Genomic DNA, 22,096 nt, shown 5'->3' with positions numbered 1-22,096 from the left:
TTTATCAAAAGGAAATTCAATAAATATGTTAATGCCCATAAGGAATTCTATCTCTTTCAAATTGTTACTCAAAGGACAATCTCCAAATGTCAAGTGCTAATGGTCGTTCTCCAAACACGTCTAATCATAGAAATCAATCCATGAAACGTAGTTAAATATCCAGATGTTTAGACATCTTTACTGAAGAAGCTAATTTAGTTGGTCTAAGAAGATCCAAAATTAGTTTTATAATTAGGCAAAATTAACCTAATGATTCTTTTGTATGAATCTATATTCTTACCAGTATTGTTTGCATCAGTGTCTTTCTTTTGTTTACTTATGTTTCATTCTTTCTCATTTGGTTATTAACCATCTTAAATAACTTGAAAATTATATATATATGTGTGTGTATGCATATGTATATGTATATGTATGTGTGTGTATATGTATGCATGTGTGTAGATATGTGTATATATATATAGAAATTGTTGACAAAGAACAGTCTCCTAAGTTTAATGTCTAATGGTCATTTCTCAAACTTATTTAATCATAAGAATCAATTTATCAATTCATGGAAAGTGTGTGTGTGTGTGTGTGTGTGTGTGTGTGTGTACATATATATATATACTTTGTTTATATATAAATGTGGACTAAATTCCTGAAGTTTTCATGTTCAAATATACTTATTTTGCCATTATTTTTGATTGGATAATATGGCAAGTTATGCAGTAAATGCCAGATTCAAGCATCTGTTCAGATTAGGCTCTGCGCTGTCTTCTAGTATTCAGTGCCACTGGTGAGATATCTAGTGTCATTCGGATGTTTATTTCTCAGTAGATAATCTGCTTTATTTATTTTTGTTTCTATATAGACTTCATTAGAATTTGTCTTTAGTTCTGGCATTTTCAAATTTCTCCAGAAATGTATACGTATTTTCCTATTATTCCCTTTTAGAATTTTGTGGTTATTTCAGTGATGAAGAAAGACTTGTGTCTTCCCTCAATCACAGGGATTCTTAACTCACTTTATTGGCTCTTCAAATTTACTTTCTATTTTTTCTGTTATTTGGAACTCCTTGTAGATAGATAGTGGAATTTGACACACCCACTGTTCCTCAACTCATTTTATTGGGTCTTCAAATTTACTTTTTATTTTCTCTGTTATTTGGAACTCCTTGTAGATAGATAGTGGAATTTGACACACCCACTATTCCTCTTTATATTCATGTGATGTTTCTCTTTGTAGTGATTTCTTCAGTGCCACACATTTTAAGTCTTTTCTTCTTTATCAACAATGTGTTCTGTAGTACAGCCATTCTGTAATCCAACCCATCTATTGAACTATTTATAAAGGTTTGACATCTTTTAAATTTACAAATGTTTTCTATCCCAGAGTTTTATTTATTCATTTCCAAAGTTAATAATTGTTCCATCTTAGATATCTTCATTACTGCTTAAGTTTCCTCATACGTTGGCTAATCGTTGGTGGCCTATTCATATTTATGAAAAATGAAGTTAATTAATGAGTGAAGACAATAGCTTGCCATGCAATTGGGTGAAGTGTTCTCTCCAATCGACCCCACCCTTTAAAGGGAGGGCTGAATGCAAGAATTATGTATATGGAAGGAGCTGGATATTTAGACCTCCTTTAGCATTCATGTGAGGAATACAGGATGACAGGTCAGAGACAATGCCCAGTTGCTAAAATAGTGAAGGTTTCACCTTGATGTAATACTCTTTGCTGTGCAGAAAACAGGAGGTTCCCTTGCGGGTGGGGGGCGCTGTTGCTGGAGCCTTGGTAAGAAAAGAAAGTGGCTTGGACCAGTAAAAATAGTAAAAATCATTCCAGCCAGATCCAGACCATGTCGTGGCCTTGCTGATGAGTTAGAAAACTAAATGAGAGATATGAAGGACAATCCCTAGAAGTTTGGATTGCGAGCAAACAGCAAGTAGTTGGCTTCAGATAAGAGCACACGTATCACTGTAACATGAGAATGAACTAAAGTATGATACAAAAAACGATATATTAGATGCAAGTAGTTTACTAGATTTGCTGACAAGAAAAAATAGTTATTTTGTTATTATGTCTTTTGTTTTTTGTTTGTTTGTTTTTGTTTGTTTGTTTGTTTTTTGAGACGGAGTCTCGCTCTGTCGACCAGGCTGGAGTGCAGTGGCTCAATCTGGGCTCACTGCAAGCTCCACCTCCGGGCTCACGCCATTCTCCTGCCTCAGCCTCCCGAGTAGCTGGGACTACAGGCGCCCGCCACCACGCCCGGCTAATTTTTTGTGTGTGTGTTTTTAGTAGAGACGGGGTTTCACCGTATTAGCCAGGATGGTCTCGATCTCCTGACCTCGTGATCCGCACCTCGGCCTCCCAAAGTGCTGGGATTACAGGCTTGAGCCACCGCGACCGGCCTATTATGTCTATTTTATAAATAAAATTGATATAAAATCATTTGTTAGTAGAGGAGAAAAGGAGGTTGTAGGACAGGGAAGAGACAAATAATTGAGAATTTTCATTTTGGACATTTTTTTTAAAAAGATGGGAAATATAGTACAATTACTAGGAAGAGACATTTGCCCATTTGAAGTCTGTGTTTACAATCTGAAGACAGAACAATTTAGAGAGTAGTGTGACATCCAGCAACTTAAAACTGTAACAGAAAATGACTATTTTAATCTTCTACCCACAACCCTCCAACATGTACAAATACACACACACACACACACAAACACAGCCACATACTGATATTTATATATGTTGCAATTTTAATAAAGTTTGCAGATTTGAATAACTTTGTGGGGTTTGTTGTGCCTTTTTAACTTTCTAAACTGGGCCAAAGCATTGCTTGACTCTCCTAACTGGTTTTAATACACACTTATCTTTTCACATCCTAATGTATACTTGTTCCAGCTGATTTCAGACAAAATCCATTAAAATTGGTAAAGGCAACACTGATAATGTTCTAAAATGATTGAATAGGTTCACATCGTAATTAATTTGCATGTAAACTGTGACAATTTAGCAGGAAACACACCCAATAGGTGAATTGCTTTTTTTTTTTTTTTGGTTGGTTTCCTTTTTGACTTTTTCTCTGTTTCACATACACATTGTTGGCTCTACAGATTCCGTGATCGGCAAACCAATCCTCTTTATCTCTAGGCTCTGATTTTTGTCCTCTGGAACTCTGAAATAGAGAAAAATCTATATCTCCCCTGAACAGATTGTGGATGGCAGCAGATCCCTTCTTTAGTCCTGCCTTTTGCTTTTCAGAGAAGTAGGTAATCTCAATAGCACAAGATGTTAACAAAAGAACCATATTGATATCTCCGCAAATCATTCCCTATTTTTCTTTTGTAATGTGTTCTCATCCTTGTTGTGGTCACTTATAACTTAGTCACATTTGGAAATATGTTATATATATGTACAGTTTGGTAAAATCATAGTGGTAACTGAGAGGTTGTGTCTATTGTTATATTTACTGAGCATATACATGCATCACATACTCTAAGAGGTAAATTACATAAGTTATTGCCTGCAGTATGTGTAATTAGTACAACTTATCTTCCAGAAATGTGCTATTATACCATTAAAAGATGTGCAAACTGAGAGCCAGTGCTTATTAAAGGCAATGAACCAAATAAGTGGCAAAGCTAAAATTTGACTGAAGTTAGTCTCTATCCAAAGTCTAAAGATTTGTTTCCAAATTCCATTAAAAATAAACGAATGGCATAAGAACTGTATCTACCATATGTGCAATAATGTTCTGGGGGAATTCAGAAATGGTTAATTAAATGGGGCCAATGATGTTTCAATAGAAAAGTTCTATCAATTGGATCCCTTTAATGTGTGAAGTAAAATTCAAAACATAGTAGAAATGTACTGGAAAGATTTAGGGGACTTTAGAAAGGAAAATTCTGGCTTGAGGAATGTGATAAGGAAACCATCAATGTCAATAATGACTAGTTTGTAACAATGAGCAGAACATATGGTTAGGGACACTGTGTGTAAAACTGCCAACCCTGATATATGAATATTGGCAGCCTGAGGAATCTTTAGATAGACAGAGAAGGACAATGACAGTGCCACTTTGAAAATGACTTGAGGCCTATGTGTATGCTCAATGTGACTGCAGAGTTCCGGGAATAACCTATCCCTACCTACACTTTAATTTTGCCACTCTGAGGGCCTAATGCTGAGCAGAACAATGAATTTAAAACCTGATTTTCACTGTTCACCTAAGCCTGTGGTGTAATTCTCAATTACCTACAGTGACCGAAAGGCCTGGGCTTATACAACGCAAGAGACCCGCAGAGAAATTATTTCAGCACACTACATGCAATTGACTTGCAGTAAAAAAAGGAAAAAGAATAATGACATAAGGCATCCTGAGATATGAAAATGAAATCCCATTTTATCTAACCAATCTTCCTAGAGTCCCAAATTAACCCTGGCAATATGGAATTTATTTTGGACACACTTTCTGGACAATGCTTCAGAGACACTGTTCTCTTTTTAGCTTGTTCTGTTCTTTATGAGGTTGATGGCCTCTATACATTTTTTTCTGAGTTAAAAATAATCAGACTTTATGTCATGTTCCAAGTTTTTTTTTCAAGGTAGTAATATAAATAGCATTTATTATATAACACCTACTCTTCCTCTTATGCCCTCAAACACATATTCACCTATACACTCAGTAGGGGAAAGTACTAGAATTCACATTTCAACTGCTTGCTTTCAATACAGTCTTTAATTTTCTCCATGAATAAGTATATATGCTTACCACTTGGCAGTCCTTTTATAAAGCAACATTGAATAAGCAAGGAAATGGTAAAGCATAGCTAATCACACATTCTCAAATGAAGATCAAGCTTCCCATGCATTAAAATAAAAAGAAATTATGAGACTTCATTTGACAATTTTGCATGCTGTAGAATATGTAAATCTCTACTATACTAAGTTAATTTGATCTATTTTTAGTTACATCATTTTTTCACAGTAACCAAACCTTACCCTGGAGTTGCCACATTTTGACTTTGCCAACCTTTGCAAATGTGAATAAACTTCTGTTTACTAATTAGTCATATAAAGTTACATTTTACTAAAATGGCTTTTTAAATTCATATCAACTAAATATCTTGTAGTGTTTTCTGATCAGCTCTTCAGACTTTTCCTTTAAAGTGCCATTTTTCTTCTCCCTTCTTTTCTCTCCTCTATTTTTCTCCTTTCCATTCTCATATTTCACCTGCTCTTTCTTTCTCTCATCATCTTGCTAGTTCTATCACTGATCCCCTAGAAACTTTCCTCTCATCCATTAGGGGCTGTACAGCATATATCATTATTATTATTATCAACATAATCATCTGTGGCTGACTCATAAAATTCTGTCTCCCAGTCAAAGCTATTTTCCCAAGCCACAATCTAATATTGCCAACTGACTCTTGGCTATCTCTTCAAAATGTTTGGCTAACACCTCAACATCAGCATATTTCAAACCAAAACTATTATGTTTCTAACCAGATCTTACAACTTTCTTCTCACTTTCTACTACTGACAGTGCCACTTTTTTTCTTCCAGGATCAAGCTATAAAACTCTTATTTTTAGCTCCACTATGTTATGTGTAATCCTTTCTCTAAATGTCTCCAATTTGTTTACTTTTCCCTTTTTTATTCTTATACTAAGTTAAAGGCATTCATTATATCTTTTTGGTTGTAACTATAAATTACAGCTTTTTTATCTTATAACACAACCATCAGAGTGCTAATCAACCATTGTGTATTCAGTCAATATAGTTTAGTAATCTATTAAAAATCTTGGATTGTGTAGACAGTATCCCCACTAGGCCAACGCCATCCCTATATTGGGCTCTTATTCTAATTCATCTGTTCCCACAACTTATTATGTAAGGGACAAAAACTAGGAACACTTTTCCTACTGCCTCCCACCCCCTCACCATATAGTTTGGTCTCACTGCCATGATATGAAAGGTCAGCACTCCTGTTCTGTGACAGTCATCCTACATACCTAATTAACAAAAGAGATGATAGTTTAATTGGGGGACTATATGAATCTGAAAGAACTTGAGATGGAACTTAATACATAATTTGAGAATTATCGATAAAACAAGATAAGTGGAGCTTGATTCATTGGATTGGTAGAAGTGACGAGTAGGGCTGCTTCATGAGCCTGTGACCTCTGCAGTTGCATAAAGCCCCGTATTCAGAATTGGCCTCATGCTTGGTATTAATGCTCTGCTGTGGTCATCCTGAAATTCCCAATAATTTTTAACAATCCCGACATTTTCATTTTGCACTGTTTTCTCATTCTCCCAATTATGTAGCTAGTCCTGGTGGTAAGAAAAACATTGAGGCTAGTGTCCAGAATTATTATTATTATTACTATTACTAATATTATTATTATTTTTGAGACAGAGTTTCATTCTTTTTGCCCAGCCTGGAGCGCAATGGCGCAATCTCAACTCACTGCAACCTCCGCCTGCCAGGTTCAAGCGATTATCTTGCCTCAGCCTCCCGAGTAGCTGGGATTATAGGTACCTGCCACCATGCCCGGCTAATCTTGTATTTTTAGTAGAAACAGAATTTCACCATGTTGGCCAGGCTGGTGGTCTCAAACTCCTGATCTCAGGTGATACACCCGCCTTGGCCTTCCAAAGTGCTAGGATCATAGGCGTGAGTCACCCTGCCCGGTTGCGTCCACAGTTTTATGTGGGCAATTGTGGAGGAGTTATGTGTATATGTGTGTGTGTTTAGAAGGGGTAAGTGTGTGTGCGTGTGTGTGTGTGTGTGTGTAAATAATAGTTCCTTCAATGTCGTGAAAAGCCCTAAATGAGAAACAGGTCTGGCATCTTCTTAAATCTCCTGTGTTTACAGGGACTTTATCTAATATTTTACTTTTTCTCTTTTTCCTTAGCACCTTATTATCTTTTATAGTTAACTTTCTCTTTAACTAGGTAAATTATCTTCCATTCAAACAATGATAATAATAATTTAACATTTCTTTCTTGAATTCCATGATGCTTTGTTTCAATTTTACGATTCTCTTCTTCCTTTATTGAAAAATAATTCCACCTTGTTCTGTATTTTTTTCATTTACTGCCAGGCTGTCTTCTTTTGCCACCAATTTCTTGACTGCCAATTCCAGTGTTACAAATAGCCAAACTTAACATGAGAGTTCACTTCTTATGCTACCAAAGTTAATATGATTCATTTATCTAAGCTTGGCAGCCTCCTCTATTTCATTAATTTTGTGACCCTAAACTCGTATTTTTTGTCTTGCATCTATGACTGCTTATTTTCCACTTGAAAGGATTCTCCCCCTTAACTCACACTACAATACTAATACTGTTTAGGGTTCTGTCCTTCTTTCTGCCATCCTTGAAAAAAATCCATGAAAAACAGATATTGAACAATTATATATAAATGTCTCCTCAAATTTTATGTTGAACTCTGAATTGTTCTCTTAGCATGAAACAACCAACAGGACAATAATTTGTTGATATCTAATGGTCCTATCAAAGTCAATGTGACCTCAAATCAATTTATTATCTCCTTCCTTCAAACTAGTCCTCCTCTGACAGTGCCCTCCCTGACGATACAAATGCTCTAGCCAGATTAATGAGAACAGCCTGGAATTGTCCCTTGCTCATCACACCCATCCATTTCCAAAGTCAATAACCAAAGTCATCCTATTTTAATTTTTTATTATTTTAAAATAGTTTAGCCCGTCTTCATACTTGTTTCTCTAACAAAACTTATGTAGCCAATAAACTCGTAATAACATTCTAGATTATTCTGGATAACTTCTAAACTGGTCCCCATGTATTGAATTTTACTCCCCTAAGCTTGGCCACTTTGCCAGCGGGGCAGAGACCTAGTTGTGAAATCAAATATTACCATTTCATTATCCTGGTTTAAATCACCAATTTAATGTAGTCCAAGGCCCCTAACACAAATATAACTTCTGCATGGTCACTTTGCCCTGATTTTCCATTTCATGTTTCCAGCCTGCTTCTACCTGACTTTCTTTTTGTATACAAGGTTTTATGAACATCTTTAAACACCCTGTCATGCTCTCTGCCTTCTTCCTGTCATTTTAGAGTAATATCTCTTTATTGTCCAACTTAGCTCTTCTAGGAAACTTTCTCTACCTACTCAAGATGAATTAAGAAACTTTCATGACACCCTATGCGTGCCTTTATGATAGTATTGCATTATGGTGAAATGTTGACATTTATGCATCCTCCACTGTATTATAAGCTTCTTGAGGTATAGGCTATAGCTTACCATTGTTGCAGTCCATAAACCTTGCACTTAGGTTGACCTGCAATCAGTTGAAGCAAATGCTGGGATAGAAAACTTTAAAGTATACTTTCTGTTGGTTCTCAAAGACTTTAGAGTTTACCTCGGCATAAGGATATGATTATGGACACATTATGTTACTCTCTGCTGAGTACCTAGGTATGAATGAAAACAAAGTGATACTGGAAGCCTAGATACAGGAGTAATTAATGCTTGAGATTGTCCGGCAATGGCCCAGAAAAGGAGGTTGAATTTTGTAAATGTTGTATTCCATTTTATTCATCTTCTCAGAAATGCCTGAGTTCTATAGTAAGTCTGCTTTGGGGATCTTAAGAGAGAGTATAAAAGTCAATCAAAACATATCATAAATATGATATGTGCTATAACAGTGTACAGCCATCCAGAATATTCTGTGGAACTATTTTTAAATTTAAATAGCTAGGGCCACATTCTTTGGAGATTCTGATGCATAGGTCTCTAGAGAGATACTTGCTTTTTAAAATATTTTATTTTGTTTTAAAAGTTTTTCCATTCATCAGTTTCTATTTTAGGTGTCTTTATTATTTAAAACCTACCTCAAATTCTACCTATCCCAACAATGCTTTATCAACTCATTGAAAGTAATTATTTTTTAATATATAAGGGACATTATCCTTACATAGCTTATGGAATTTATGGTATTGCATTTCATTTTAGTAACTTCTTTCTAGTTTCTTAGCTTCTTTATATCCCTCTACAAAACCTAGATCATTGCTTTGTTAGCTGATATTCTGTTTGTATTTTCTGAATAAATCTAGTCAGGTGTACATATATTCATGTATGTATGTATATATATTTATGTTCACAGAGACCCATATTGTTTTGGTAATGTGTAAGAAAAAACAATAGAAATTTCAGAATTTTCTAGTGTATCCCCTGACTGAGCATTAAGACAATTTAAATCCATTTTATTTCCCAATTAGCAATAACATGATAGAGAAATGGATATGAACAGAAATTATGAAAGGAAGACAAGAAAATGATCAATAAACATTCTAGTAACCACATGAACAGAAATTAAAACAATGAGGTATTAATTTTCAACTATTGAATAAGCAAATAGAAGAAAATGGTATTGTTAGAAGGTAGTGAGGAACTATTTAACCTTTTACACTTCACTAATGGTGTTGGGAACCAGTAAAGTAATCATGAGTTTCAAGAAATATTCATATATTTTACTTAGTAGTTTCAATTTCAGTAATCTTTTCAAATGCCATAGTCAAAGACCCAGGAAAGATTTATAAACTGTGATGTTCATTAAATCATTGTTTATATCAAAAACTTGGGAACGACATTAATATTCAGTAATAGAGAAAATCCAAAACATGTACACTGTAGAATATAATGCTGATAATTTACTGAAAATATTGCATAAGAACTTCTAGTGACAGAAAAATCTGATATATTAAATGTTAAGAGGCACAATATATGCATCATTTTTCAAAGTCTCTCATAAGATGTTCCTAAGGAAAACAGTAATTTTGAGTTACTATATATTACTATACTTTAGTGAATGGGCATAAATGCACATTGGTAAATTGAATATCGTTCTGAAAAGATCAATGATTTGGTCAACCTTAAGTTCTGATTCATTGAATATTAATAAAATAACCCTTTTTTGTGAACAAAAGTCATTAAAATGATTTTGAACATTTGCCTCTTTACTGGTACTGTAAATATTGTGTCCTGAGTGCAATATATTTCTTTGGTGGTTAAGAATCTTAAAATGCCTCAGGATCTTCTAAATGTCAATTTTCATTACATAGCGCCAAAATGTTAAATGCAGATATGGGAGGTTGAACTGTGTGAGTACTATCCCCAGGATATTCTATGGAAGGTGTAGTTTCTCTTTTAATGAAAAGCTTCCAGGTAAGATTTTGTTTATTTGTGACTTGCCTCTTTCTGCTATAAGGGAAGCACAGGAAGCAAATGTGATTTATAATAGTAGTACACATTTACTGAGCACTTACAACTGGGATTTAGCTAGCCATTATCCAAGTCTTTGTTATGCCAAAGACTATACTAGACCTTTTGGCATGCTTAAAGTTTTTTTTTTTTTTTTTTTTTAAAGCTTGCAACAGCTCTATCAGATGAGGGTAGTATCCTAGTCTAAAAGTGAGGTAGTATGTTCAGACAGTAAAACAACCTGGTTCAACAACTCTATATTTAATATGAGTGGTCAACGTATGGCTTGACTCTATGTCTTCCAATGCCAGTCTTGAGTTATGTATATTTTACCTAGCTGCATTAAGACATTTATTGTACCAGATACACATTTGTAGCTTGCATTCAATTAAGAAACAGATATGCAAATATATAATGATAAAAAAACAAGTTTATATACATTTTACTATATGCCTGATAGTTTTCTATGCATATTTAATTTTCCTAGGAAACCTAGAAATAGGCGTGATGGTTTATTATATGTTTCAATGTGACTGGGCTAAGTGATGCTTAGATAGCTGGTAAAACAGTACTTCAAAGTGTGTCCAAGGGTATTTCTGGAAGACCTTAGCATTAACCATGGTAGACTACCCTTGTCAATGTGGGTGTGCATCATCCAATCCATTGAGTGCCTGAGTAGAATAAAAAGGAAGAGGAAAGGACAAATTTGCTTTCTGCTTGAGCTGGAATATCTTTTCCTGTCCTTGAGCATTGGTGCTCAAGCCTTCACGTTTGGACTGGAAATACACCAGCAGCTTTCCTAGGCCTCCAGCTTGCAGGCGCAGATCATGGGACCTCTTAGCCTCCGTAATTGCATGAGCTTTTTCTCTATATATCTTTTTCTACATCTCTCTCTCTCTCTCTCTCTCTATATATATATATATATATATATATATTCTCTTTATATATACACACAGAGACACACATGTACATCTCTCTCTCTCTCTCTCTCTCTCTCTCTCTCTCTCTCTCTCTCTCTCTCTCTCTATATATATATATATATATATATATATATATATATATACTGGAAGAGGTTAGCATTTGACTTGGTAGACTGAGAAAAGCAAAAAATGTTATTGCTAGAGGGTAGTGAGGAACTAATTAATCTTTTACTCCTCACTAGTGGTGTTGGGAAGCAATAAAGTAATCATGAGTTTTGAGAAACATTCATATATTTTACTGAGTAGTTTCAATTTCAGTAGCCTTTTCAAGTTCCATAGTCAGAGACCCAGGAAAAATTTATAAACGGAGATGTTCATTAAAGCATTGTTTATATCAAAAACTTGGGATGACATTAATGTTCAATGATAGAGAAAGTTATTAACAACATTACTTATTATATCAGTCAGGATTCTCCAGAAAAATCGAACTAAGGGGATAGAGAGGTGTATAAATATATGTATATATGTATACATATATGTGTATATATGTATACATATATGTGTATATATGTATACATATATGTGTATATATGTGTATATGTGTGTGTATATACATGTATGCACATATACACACATATAGATATACACCCCACCAGATTGCATTCATTCAGTTGACAAAGCTGATACCGTTTTGTCACCACTTGAACCATACCCATTCCTTGCTTTTTCTGTAGCCACCTCTGCTTTATTCCTCTTTCAAGATTCAGAACAAAGAATACAGCTCAAAGAATACCTCCTCTCAGAAAGCATTTTCTCCAACAGGTTTAACTAGTCTCTAATTTTTTAGGCTAAAAAATACTTTTAATAGTCTGCCAATATGCCATTTTAGCAACTTGTGTTATAGTTAGAGGAAGCGTGGCATAATAATTAAGGGCACAGTATCTGGAACTAAACAAACATGAAAATTTACGTAAATATATGAGCCGAATATCTTCATCAGTAAAATGGCCATAACATTACCTATTGTATCAGTCAGGGTTCTCCAGGGAAACAGAACTAAGAGGATAGATAGAGAGGTATATCTATATATCTATTATCTATATATCGATATCTATATATTTGTCTATCTATATGCGTGTATATGTGTGTGTACACAGAAAAGATATATAGAGGTATATCTATGTATAATATCTATTTATCTCTATATATATGTGTATATATCTATATGTGTGTATATGTGTGTGCTACAGAAAAAGCAAGGAATAGGTGTAGTTCAAGTGGTGAGGAAAATAGAGGAGTTAGAGATGGTATCAGCTTTGTCAACTGAATGAATGCAATCTGGTGAGGCTAACAAAAATATACATTAATTAAAACCAAACGAATTAGCTATAATCTTAAAATACAATATTCCAAATAAGTTCTCAATATTTTTGTAATTCATCTTTAATAGTGCAGAGATAGTAATAGCACCACATTCATTGTGGTGCTTTGCTATTATTAAGGATGTCTAAATTTATATTTACACTTTTGATAACTGTGTCATATAATTGATTTTTACTGAAATTATTGTCTGTAGAAATATCTAAATCATATTCACAGGTTTTGGTTCTAAGTCTGTCCCCACTACCATATATTTAATACATTCATACTTGGGGATACAGCTATGGAATTTCTACTTCATTATATTTGAGATGTCACCCAAGTTTTTCAAGATCCTTTATGAAATTTGTAGTTCTTCATCCAAATATACTGGCTCTGTTAAGGGACAATTTCTTCATGAATGATTTTGGTGTTAATGGTATTGATAAAAGCCAGTTTCAGGGCAGGTTTGGAGTTGGAGCTCTACAGCTATCTATTGGAAACCTTCCTTGAGTAAGCACTTTTGACATTTTTAAACATGCTTAGGTAGTTGCTTACTACAGCAACACCCAAAAATTGTAGCAACACCCAAAAGTTGTACTTAAACACCCAACACTCAAAAATTGTAGTAGCAACACCCAAAAATTGTACTTAAAATTCTCCATGTGGGCTATAACGAAATCATGAGGGCTACGATGATGATGATGTAGAAATCATATACTTTTTTTTTTCTATTTCCAGTCTTGCATGTCCGGAATAGAAAGAAATGACATTTTTCTGGAATGACTTATTTGTGAATGTAATGCAAACCCAGGTGGTCCCACTGTTTTCTCCTCTAGCAGTCTGTTCATCGCTTTAATAAGTCATCTTATACCTTTTCCACTTTCCACATTTAGTTCAATAATTTCTAATTTATAGCATCCATATTCATTTAAATTTTGAAAGTTAGGAAAATATTTGCTTAACTCTAGTCTTTCTGCACTACTTTATTCTCAACAAATCCCCAGTTTACCCACAGTTGTTTTTTTTTTTTTTTAAGTCTGGCATATACTTTATATTTTCTATTTTAATACTTAAAGCTAGACTTCATCATCTATTATATTTTCACTTATTTTGGAACTCAGTGTCCTCATTTCATCATTTGTAGTACAACAATTATCTGTTTTACAGAAATAAAATATGTGTGTAATAGAAATTGAGGAGTTTTACCATTTGCTTTGTCAATTATTCATACTACCACATGAGAGCCAGAAAAGCTCATTGGTTCTTTGATATTATACATGCATTGAAGAAAAATCTAAAAAGTGAACACATGGATCTAATTATTATTATGAGTAAGGAATATGCTACTTTTTAGAATTAATTGCACATACGGTTATCTTTGAAACCTTCTTGATAGATGTCTTTCATTTTAATGCATTAATGTTTTACCAGTACTCTGCAATTCTTTTTTTTTTTTTTTTTTTTTGAGATGGAATCTCGCTCTGTCTCCCAGGCTGGAGTGCAGTGGCGCAATCTCAGCTCATTGCAACCTCCACCTCCTGGGTTCACGCCATTCTCCTGCCTCAGCCTCCTGAGTAGCTGGGACTACAGGCGCCCGCCACCACGCCAGGGTAATTTTTTTATTTTTTTATTTTTTTATTGTTAGTAGAGATGGGGTTTCACTGTGTTAGCCAGGATGGTCTCTACCTCCTGACCTCATGATCCGCCCTCCTCGGCCTCCCAAAGTGCTGGGATTACAGGCATGAGCCACCGCACCTGTCCTACTCTGTAATTCTTAAACTGAAGAGAGATGACAGAATGAGTAAAGGTTAACTAAATTAGATCATCTTTCATAGTATAGAGATCACTTTTTTATCAATTTGTTTTCTCTTTTGTTCTTTTAACAAAAATACACAAACTATAGTTCTTGCTAACCAAACACATAAAATAAATAGTTGCAGAGAAATTTCCTATTGCTTTATAATTTACTAGCTCTTTTTCTTTATATAAAAATCAGATCACATATTTTGATATTATTCTTGTAAACAAAAATAGTAACTACATAGAGGTGATAGATATGTTAATTAGTTATAAGATGATCATTTCACATTGTATATGCATATCAAAATATCAAGTTGTATACCTTAAATATATAATAATTTTTATGCCAATGATATCTCAATAAAGCTGTTAATGAGCCAATGCACCATGTTTGTGCAGTTGACCGCTCTAAAAACTGAATTATAACAAGAGTTTTCTCTCTAAATTTTGTTTACATTGCTCCCTTATTCAGGTTTGGAAACATCACATAACTTGCTAAATTTTCAGGGTAAAATTAAGCATGAGATGCCATCTAAAGAGACAATTTTCTGAGTCTCTCTCTCAGAAAATGATCATAGTTTAGCATGACAATTTTATCTTTCCAGTTTCTATAGTCTGACCAGCATCAATCGTGTGTTAGATGTGTCTCTGTCTCCAGCTAAAATGATTCTAATAACTCTCCCAAGGTAACCCAAGTGGGAATTCAGTATCAGAAATGTCCATGCTTTCACTTTCAGAGATTAGTTCTGTAATAAATTCTGGTGATTGATACACTGTCCACTTTTTTGAAGTAATCTTAGACATAAAGAGAAAACAAGCACCTGCCTACCACCTGGCTTTCCCTAGCAGCAAATTCCACATTGGTTCACTTGTTTCCTTCTTCTTCTTCTTCTTCTTCTTTTCTTTTGTGTTTCTTTATTTGTTTTGAGCTGAAAATACAAGAGATGCACTAAGTGGCTGACAAGTCCACTTTTCAATGGCTAGGGAAAATTGGCACAGTTTCAGAATGTCAAACTCCAGAAGCCATTTAAACCCAGTGTGTATGCATCATTGGGATTGTGGAGAATCTAGAGCCCTTATTCCAAGAGTGTGGCTTCATAGATACAAATCCTTCCTTGATGAATGAATTCTTTCTCTAGAAATGGATTGTATTGGTTGGCAGTATTGACAATTCCCTCTGCATGTCGTTGCACTGAGGAGCAAGTGCCTGTTGACTTCCATTATGACTGTCCACTGGATGCACTTATTACAGTCTTATCCAGGGAAAACCACCAAGGAAGGCCAGCAAAAACAGGTTTTGTTTTGAAGTGTATCCCTAAGATGCTCATTGCTTGTGTCTCAGCCACTGCTTCAGTAGCAAGCTGGCAAACAAACATTTTATTTCATTCAACTAGAGGCAGTCAAATAAACAGAGTTAGGGTTTTCTAGAGAATGTCATAACGTGAATTTTAACAATTAAACTATAGGACCTCTTACAGACTTAAAGTTTCTTTTTCTATCCCTTTTATTTTTCATAGCTATTTCTTTCTTTGGGCACTCAGGGCTTCATCAACATAGAAAGATTGGAAATGTATTCTCTCATACCTCTTTCAATAAACAAAAATAAATTAAGAATTTGTGTCTGGACACTACACAAGGAGAATCCCTCATTTAAAACAGTAGCTGCATAATAAAGAATATATAATGCGCAATATAATACTGGCATATTATCTTGATGCTGCTGTTTCCGTTCCACTTTTTTCTAAAAGTTTAAATTTTGGAAATTTCCAAATTCTAATTGACTTCTAACATCTTCCTTAAGAGCAACAGAACACTGAAATGTGCAATTCCTTCCCAATTAGAAATAATTCAATTCCTGTTCTACCTCATTGCTCCTGTTGGTTTGTTTAGTCTTTCCGAAAGCTAAATCAAATTAAATCCTTCCACATTTCACATCACTCAAGCAAAATAGTCAAATATAACTTTAGCCGATTCAAACATTCACTCTCAGACCCAAGAAACTTCCAAGAAATACAACTTACCTTATCTTTTCAACCTCTTTGATCTTTCTCAGGGAAGAAGAAAAGAGGGGAGTAATTAGAAATTATACAACCTTTAACAAAAGTTTATCATAAGTTTGTACAAGGATACAGATTTTTTAAATCTTCACAGAGACCTGCTAAAGTGAGGATTGCCTTCCAGGTTTTAGAGTGGCCTCCTGAGGCTCAGAGAAGGGTAAAAGCTTACACAGGTTCACATGTAAAGGTATGTCCCAGCCGTGATTTGAATCCACGTCTTCTTGCCTTTAGAGCTTGTACACCCTATCACTCTACCTCTCTTAGTCTTAAGTCCTTGTTCCTTTAACATTCTGAACCTGGGCATTTGTAGTTTTATCAACTAAGCAGAAAAAGTAATATCTTTCTCTTAGTGTTTGCAATGATGGAGGGTCTTGTACAATTCTTATTATATCTGCCAAGGGGCCCTTAGACTAGTCATTCAATTTAGATAAACTCCTACACTTGTTTACTTTAAATAAGGATGCTTGATGTGCTCAATGGGTGAGTGTGGGTGACTTCGTGCGGGGAGAAAGTACTAAAGTTATTTCAGCTGTCCAGATCAATTTTGAATGCAGCCCATCAGACCTTAAATCCCTGTTATCAAAAGCTATGTACATTGCAAATCGATTTAATTTATTCTGGAGTGATAAGAGGTGAGAAGTTTGTGTGTGTGTAGGTTTCCTGGCACAATCAAAGGGGGTTGGAAAAGCATCACAGCTTCTATTCGTCTTCACAAATATAAATGCTGACCTCCAAGGGGAAGCTCTGTCTGATATAAACCCTCCATACCTTGAGTACTTTGGGTGAAGGCGTTAAAGGACATCACTCAAGCGAAATCTCATGGCTACCACTGGACTATGGATCACTGATGAATGAGCCAGCAGTTGAATGTTTAGCAGGCTGTGACGACTTTGCACGGGAATATGAAAATTTATTACCAGCTTGCCACATCAGCGCCTGCCCTGCCTTATTTCCTGGGTCCCTCCCGGTGGCTACTCCCACTCCATCTGACAGTCAAACCCCTCTCGCTCCCCAGTTTCCCCTCCCCCGCAGAGAATTGATGGTCTAAACTGTCACGGAGTCCTGGCCGTCATTTTTCAAGAAATCTGGTACCCAAGATGATGCCGTTGGATCAGGGATTTTATTTAGGAGTAGTAGTATGCGCTGAATTGTTTTCTACATGACCTTGCTGAGGGGGTTAAAGGGTGTCCGTTTTGCTTGCTGTGGAATTTGTGCAGCCCCAAAAGTATGCACGGTGGGGGGTTGGGGGGGAGAAGGAGGCAGAAGGGAAAGGAGCCGCGGAGAGGAGAGCCAGGGAGAAGAGGAAGGAGGAGAGACCGGGAGAGCGCAGCATCAGGCAGACAGGCGCCGCCAGCCAATCAGAGGCGCGCTCGGGAGCTGCAGAGACCCAGCCTCGGAGCCCAGGGCTCGAGGTGCGCGGAGCCTGAGTCTGGGCTTTCCGAGGACGGCGAGCAGCTGTGCCCAGAGCTCTGGGAAAGTCCCCTCTCTTTGCTTCTTATAAATTAAGTTCCTTTCCACCAGTTAGGGCAAGTCCGCCAAGGTAAGGCTTCAATAAATGACACTTTACTCTCTAGTGACATGAATATTTTTGTGTACAGCGGGGCTGCTTTACCCAGTTCTGAGTCAAAGCAATATTGGGTGAAATCTTCATCTCCGATGGGTTTCACAGGATCGAGGGCTGAGGGGAAAGTTGTAGCTAATGCAGGCTGCCTTATCGCTGGTATACATTTGAATTTTCTTATGCAGGAATGCTGCCATAGAGCCTATCGAATGCGAGTCTCAGAATCCAGCTGCGTGTCTGTTTATGTTTATCTGTGCCTGTGCTGTTGTCTTCCCTGAAGAAGTTGGAAGAATACTCTGCAAGGCACATTGCAATAATGATGGCATCAGTATAAGCTGTCATTTATGTCTATCTGTAAAAGTGAGGGGACGCATGGTCAGAATAGAAACAGGGGCACTGAAATTGAATTTTCGATAGTGCTTTTTTTAATTATTGCCTTTCCAGTATCCTCTAAAATTACGTGATTTCTGAGCACTGAAACTGCAGCAGGACAAGCCTCATTTATATTCTTTCATTCTTTTTTTTTTTCTTCCCACGAATCCCTGCCTTAAATGCTTATTAAAGCTTAAGATGAAACTTTTGCTTCTTTTAAAGGGCACTTATAAATGATGCATGAAAAGAAATTAGGTAGGCTCCTGTGATCAGCAACACACTTTATTTATGTTTGTTAACTCTCATTCATTTCTTTTTCTTAACTTCTTGTTTTAGTGTGGAAGTAACTATTATTTTGTCTTGATTTTTATGTCTGCAAAACAAGGTAAATTATGCCTTATGCGTGTGTGTGTGTGTGTGTGTGTGTGTGTGTGTGTGTTGTCTGTACAGATGTGGCTCTAGGCAAACCTCTCATATGTAACAGGTGAAAAAATAGAATTTTATTAGCTAGGGCTATTAAAATATTTTTATTTCAATGTCTCATTGCATTTAATGTTGTAGTCAAGAATAAATGTTCCTTGCTTTTTTCCTGTTGGAAGTCAAGAAAAAATAAAATAAAAATCTTAGCTAAAAGTATTATGGTTTTCGGTTTGCTCAGGTGATGGCATCACTGCTTTGAGCCGAGAGACAGATCAGAGGAAGATTTTGTTATGCAGCCAAAAAAACTAACTACAGGCTCTGACTGTGTTTTCAAACCTTTATTTTTCACTCTGGGATCACCCACAGATTTTTCAAAGCAGGGGACTTTGCTCCTGCAATAATTGTTCTTTTTTATTTTAGTGTATTTGTCTTACCAGAGAAAATGCTTAATTCTAAATCAGGAGTTTGAGGTCCAGCCTAGATCTTACATATACCTTGTTGGGATGTGGGAGGAAGAAGATAGGATGTGATACTCGTAGATAATGAGTTCCATTGTGTAACACTCTGGTGCTATCACCTATTATGATTGCAGTTGCCCTCAAGCCTCCTGTTGTTTATTTAATTCTGGATATCTTAATAATAAATTGACCTGGTATAGGTCAACTGATGCACTTCCCCTAGAAGACATTCACTTAGTGCACCTTGGTGAGTATTTTATGAACTATACTTCTGATGCTTTTTCTCAGAGATAGCCAACTTAAAAAACCAACCAAACAAACAAAAAGGAACTGATACCAATGGTCAAGATTGATTGCCTCTCTGAAAACAATGGGAGGTAGAAAATGAGCATTGGCTATTATACATGCAACAGAAATGCCCAGCTGAAGATAACCCAATAGCAAAGGAGAATATAATAGTAGAAGGACAGTGAGTGGCAGGAAACTCTAGCTGTAACTGTATCCAGTGCAGACTGATTATAATTAGCTATAGCAGTCACAAGTATGAGCAATAGCACCCGGTGCTAGAATGAAGTCCATACATTGTGCAATCTGGAAATTATTATTCCTCTCAATGACTGATTTCAAATAGATATAGTGGACTTGTGAGAATATATGAGTCATTTATTCCAACTTTATAAATTATTTAGATGAAAGCTGCTATAAATATAAAGTACTTTTTGTCCCATTGGCTGATATAAATAGCATTATTATGCTTTGCATTGATTTTTGCAGTCTGATGAATACAAACCACATGTTTGCAAGTTTTTGGGTCCCAACAGCTCTGTATTTAACTTATTGCACAGAAGTATACCTTAAGTATCTGCAACCTGACTTAACTGTCTTTCAGACTCTAAACATGCATGTAACACTTCAACCAAGCTAGGATAAAACATATTGAACTTATTGACCAGGAAAAACTTACTTCTTTTGAATCCATATATCTGACACAGTGAAGTCTAGTGAAGAATGAGAGAGATTGAGACATTAAAGACAAAGCATGTATATGGTGTTCTTTGTCTTTCTTTTTTTTTTAATTAAGTACAGAACTTTAGGCCCTCATGTGCTTAATTGTATGACTTCATTATACTTGCATTATACATATCTATAATACTGCATTTTAGATTAGGCCTTCTTAACCTTGGTGCTGTTGGTATTGTGAGCTCTATCATTCTCCTGGGGGACTTTTCTGTGTATTGTAGGCTCCTTAGTAGCATACCTATTCTCTACCCACTAGATCCCAGTAGTAGCACCTCCAACTTGTGTCAATAAAAAAATCTCTCTATACATTGTTAGACATTGTTAACTATCCCCTGGGGAGGATGCAAAATTACATTGAGAACCACTGCTTAGAGCAATTTTGAGCAGTGGTTCTCAATGCAATTTTGAGAACCACTCAGTGGGAACCACTGCTCTAAGCCAAACCAAAGGATGTATATAGAAAAAAGTTCATGCATATGCTGTTTGAGTAGGCAACTGCCCAGTCCAGTTTGGATGCTCTACAGATAAATCCCCTCCTTTTGCTTTGATAATGAATGGTTTTCAATTGGTAGGTGTTTTACTAGATCCCTAACACAGTACTGTGGAAGATCTTGCCAGTAAACTGAGAGACGAGGGCTATATTATCATATGCTAACATTTTTGGGACAAAAGGAAATGAAAACTGAGAGATAGTATAAATGTTGAGGTTGAAGACAAATTTCACTTTAATTTTCTTCAGATGATCCTTTAATATAAATAATAAATAAATAAAGATACTGGTTCTTCTCTATAATTGCTTCTACTATTATATTTTGGGAGTTTGTATATGTGTGGGTTGTAGGGAGGGAGCATTCACTCTGGTTATTCTATATGCTTGGAGTAGTTTCTAGTGTTTAAAGCCTCCAGAAGTAAAATGAGAACAGTTTGATTTAAAAGGTACAGTTTTAGACAAGTGCTGATGTGTAGCACAATGGAAAAGAACTGAGCTTAATGATTTGAAGACATGGCAGAGGGTGCATACTGACATGGATTAACGCATCATGCGTGTCTGATCTGTAGGCCATTTTCTTTATCCATAAAAGGTGATGATAATAGGTGTAAAAACCCAATATACAAGGTTTTATACTGGCTTACAATTTGTAAAGGTCTACACTAATGTTGGTAAATTATCATAGATTCAGTGTCTTTGATGATTTGTCTGATTAAAATGGATTAAGCATGCTGAGTCTTTCAGTTATTCTAGCGTGGTTAAAAATCATCTACAAGAAAGGTTAATATTCTCTGCTATATTATTTTCATGGATGAAAGTGAACATCTAAATTTCTAATATTTTCAAATCTAAAATTTGAAATATGTAATTTAAGATTATGAATACACCTCAATTTTTTTCTTATTTCCATCCTTCCTCATATTATCCACATTTAAAATTTATTATAAAAATGTAGACATATAAAACATAGAATGTGACTTGAGATTTACTCTTAAACAGTAACCATTATTAATGCTTGATGTATATTTTAAAAATAATTTTTCAATGAATAGATTAATATGGATATATACAACTAAAATTATATATTTTTAGAAAGATATAGTGATATACATAGAGAGGCATACAGTCACATAAACCCATGTGCACAAATATATATTTAAATAAAATAAATACAATTTCATAATATTATATGTAACTAATTTTGTAGGATGTTTGTCTTCCATGTGAATAGTAGAGAGGATACATGATTTTTTTATGAGTCCAGTGTGCCATTAGGCATAGGTCTGATGCTTAGTTCAATGTTGAAGACATCCATTTGTTTACAGGTCACTCATTAAGTCAAGGAACTTTGAATTGGTGGGTGTCCCTACCATATTTAGTATTATGCATTTTGA

At 35.4% G+C, this 22,096-nt stretch overlaps 1 protein-coding gene across 17 annotated transcripts in view; it reads left to right on the top strand.

Annotated features, from left to right (window-relative positions):
• The window catches only part of CDH18 (cadherin 18), a 1,104,418-nt gene that overhangs the window by 569,707 nt on the left and 512,615 nt on the right, over positions 1-22,096 (top strand). For 7 of the 17 annotated variants that reach the window (NM_001349561.2, NM_001349560.2, NM_001349559.2 and 4 more), the window contains exon 1: positions 17,807-17,921. The exons of 7 other annotated variants lie outside the window; for them this stretch is intronic. The gene's annotated coding sequence lies outside the window, so the exon portion shown is untranslated. Of the gene's footprint in view, positions 1-13,992; positions 14,135-17,806; positions 17,922-21,137; positions 21,149-22,096 lie in introns of those variants that run through there. 3 more of the 17 variants (NM_001291956.3, NM_001349558.2, XM_017008929.3) reach the window with 2 other exon arrangements.

The sequence above is a fragment of the Homo sapiens genome, chromosome 5 (genome assembly GCF_000001405.40).
Source record: "Homo sapiens chromosome 5, GRCh38.p14 Primary Assembly".
NCBI classification, from domain to species: Eukaryota; Metazoa; Chordata; class Mammalia; order Primates; family Hominidae; genus Homo; species Homo sapiens.
The sequence above is the reverse complement of the archived record's forward strand: the minus strand, read 5'-3'. Positions and strand labels throughout refer to the sequence as shown.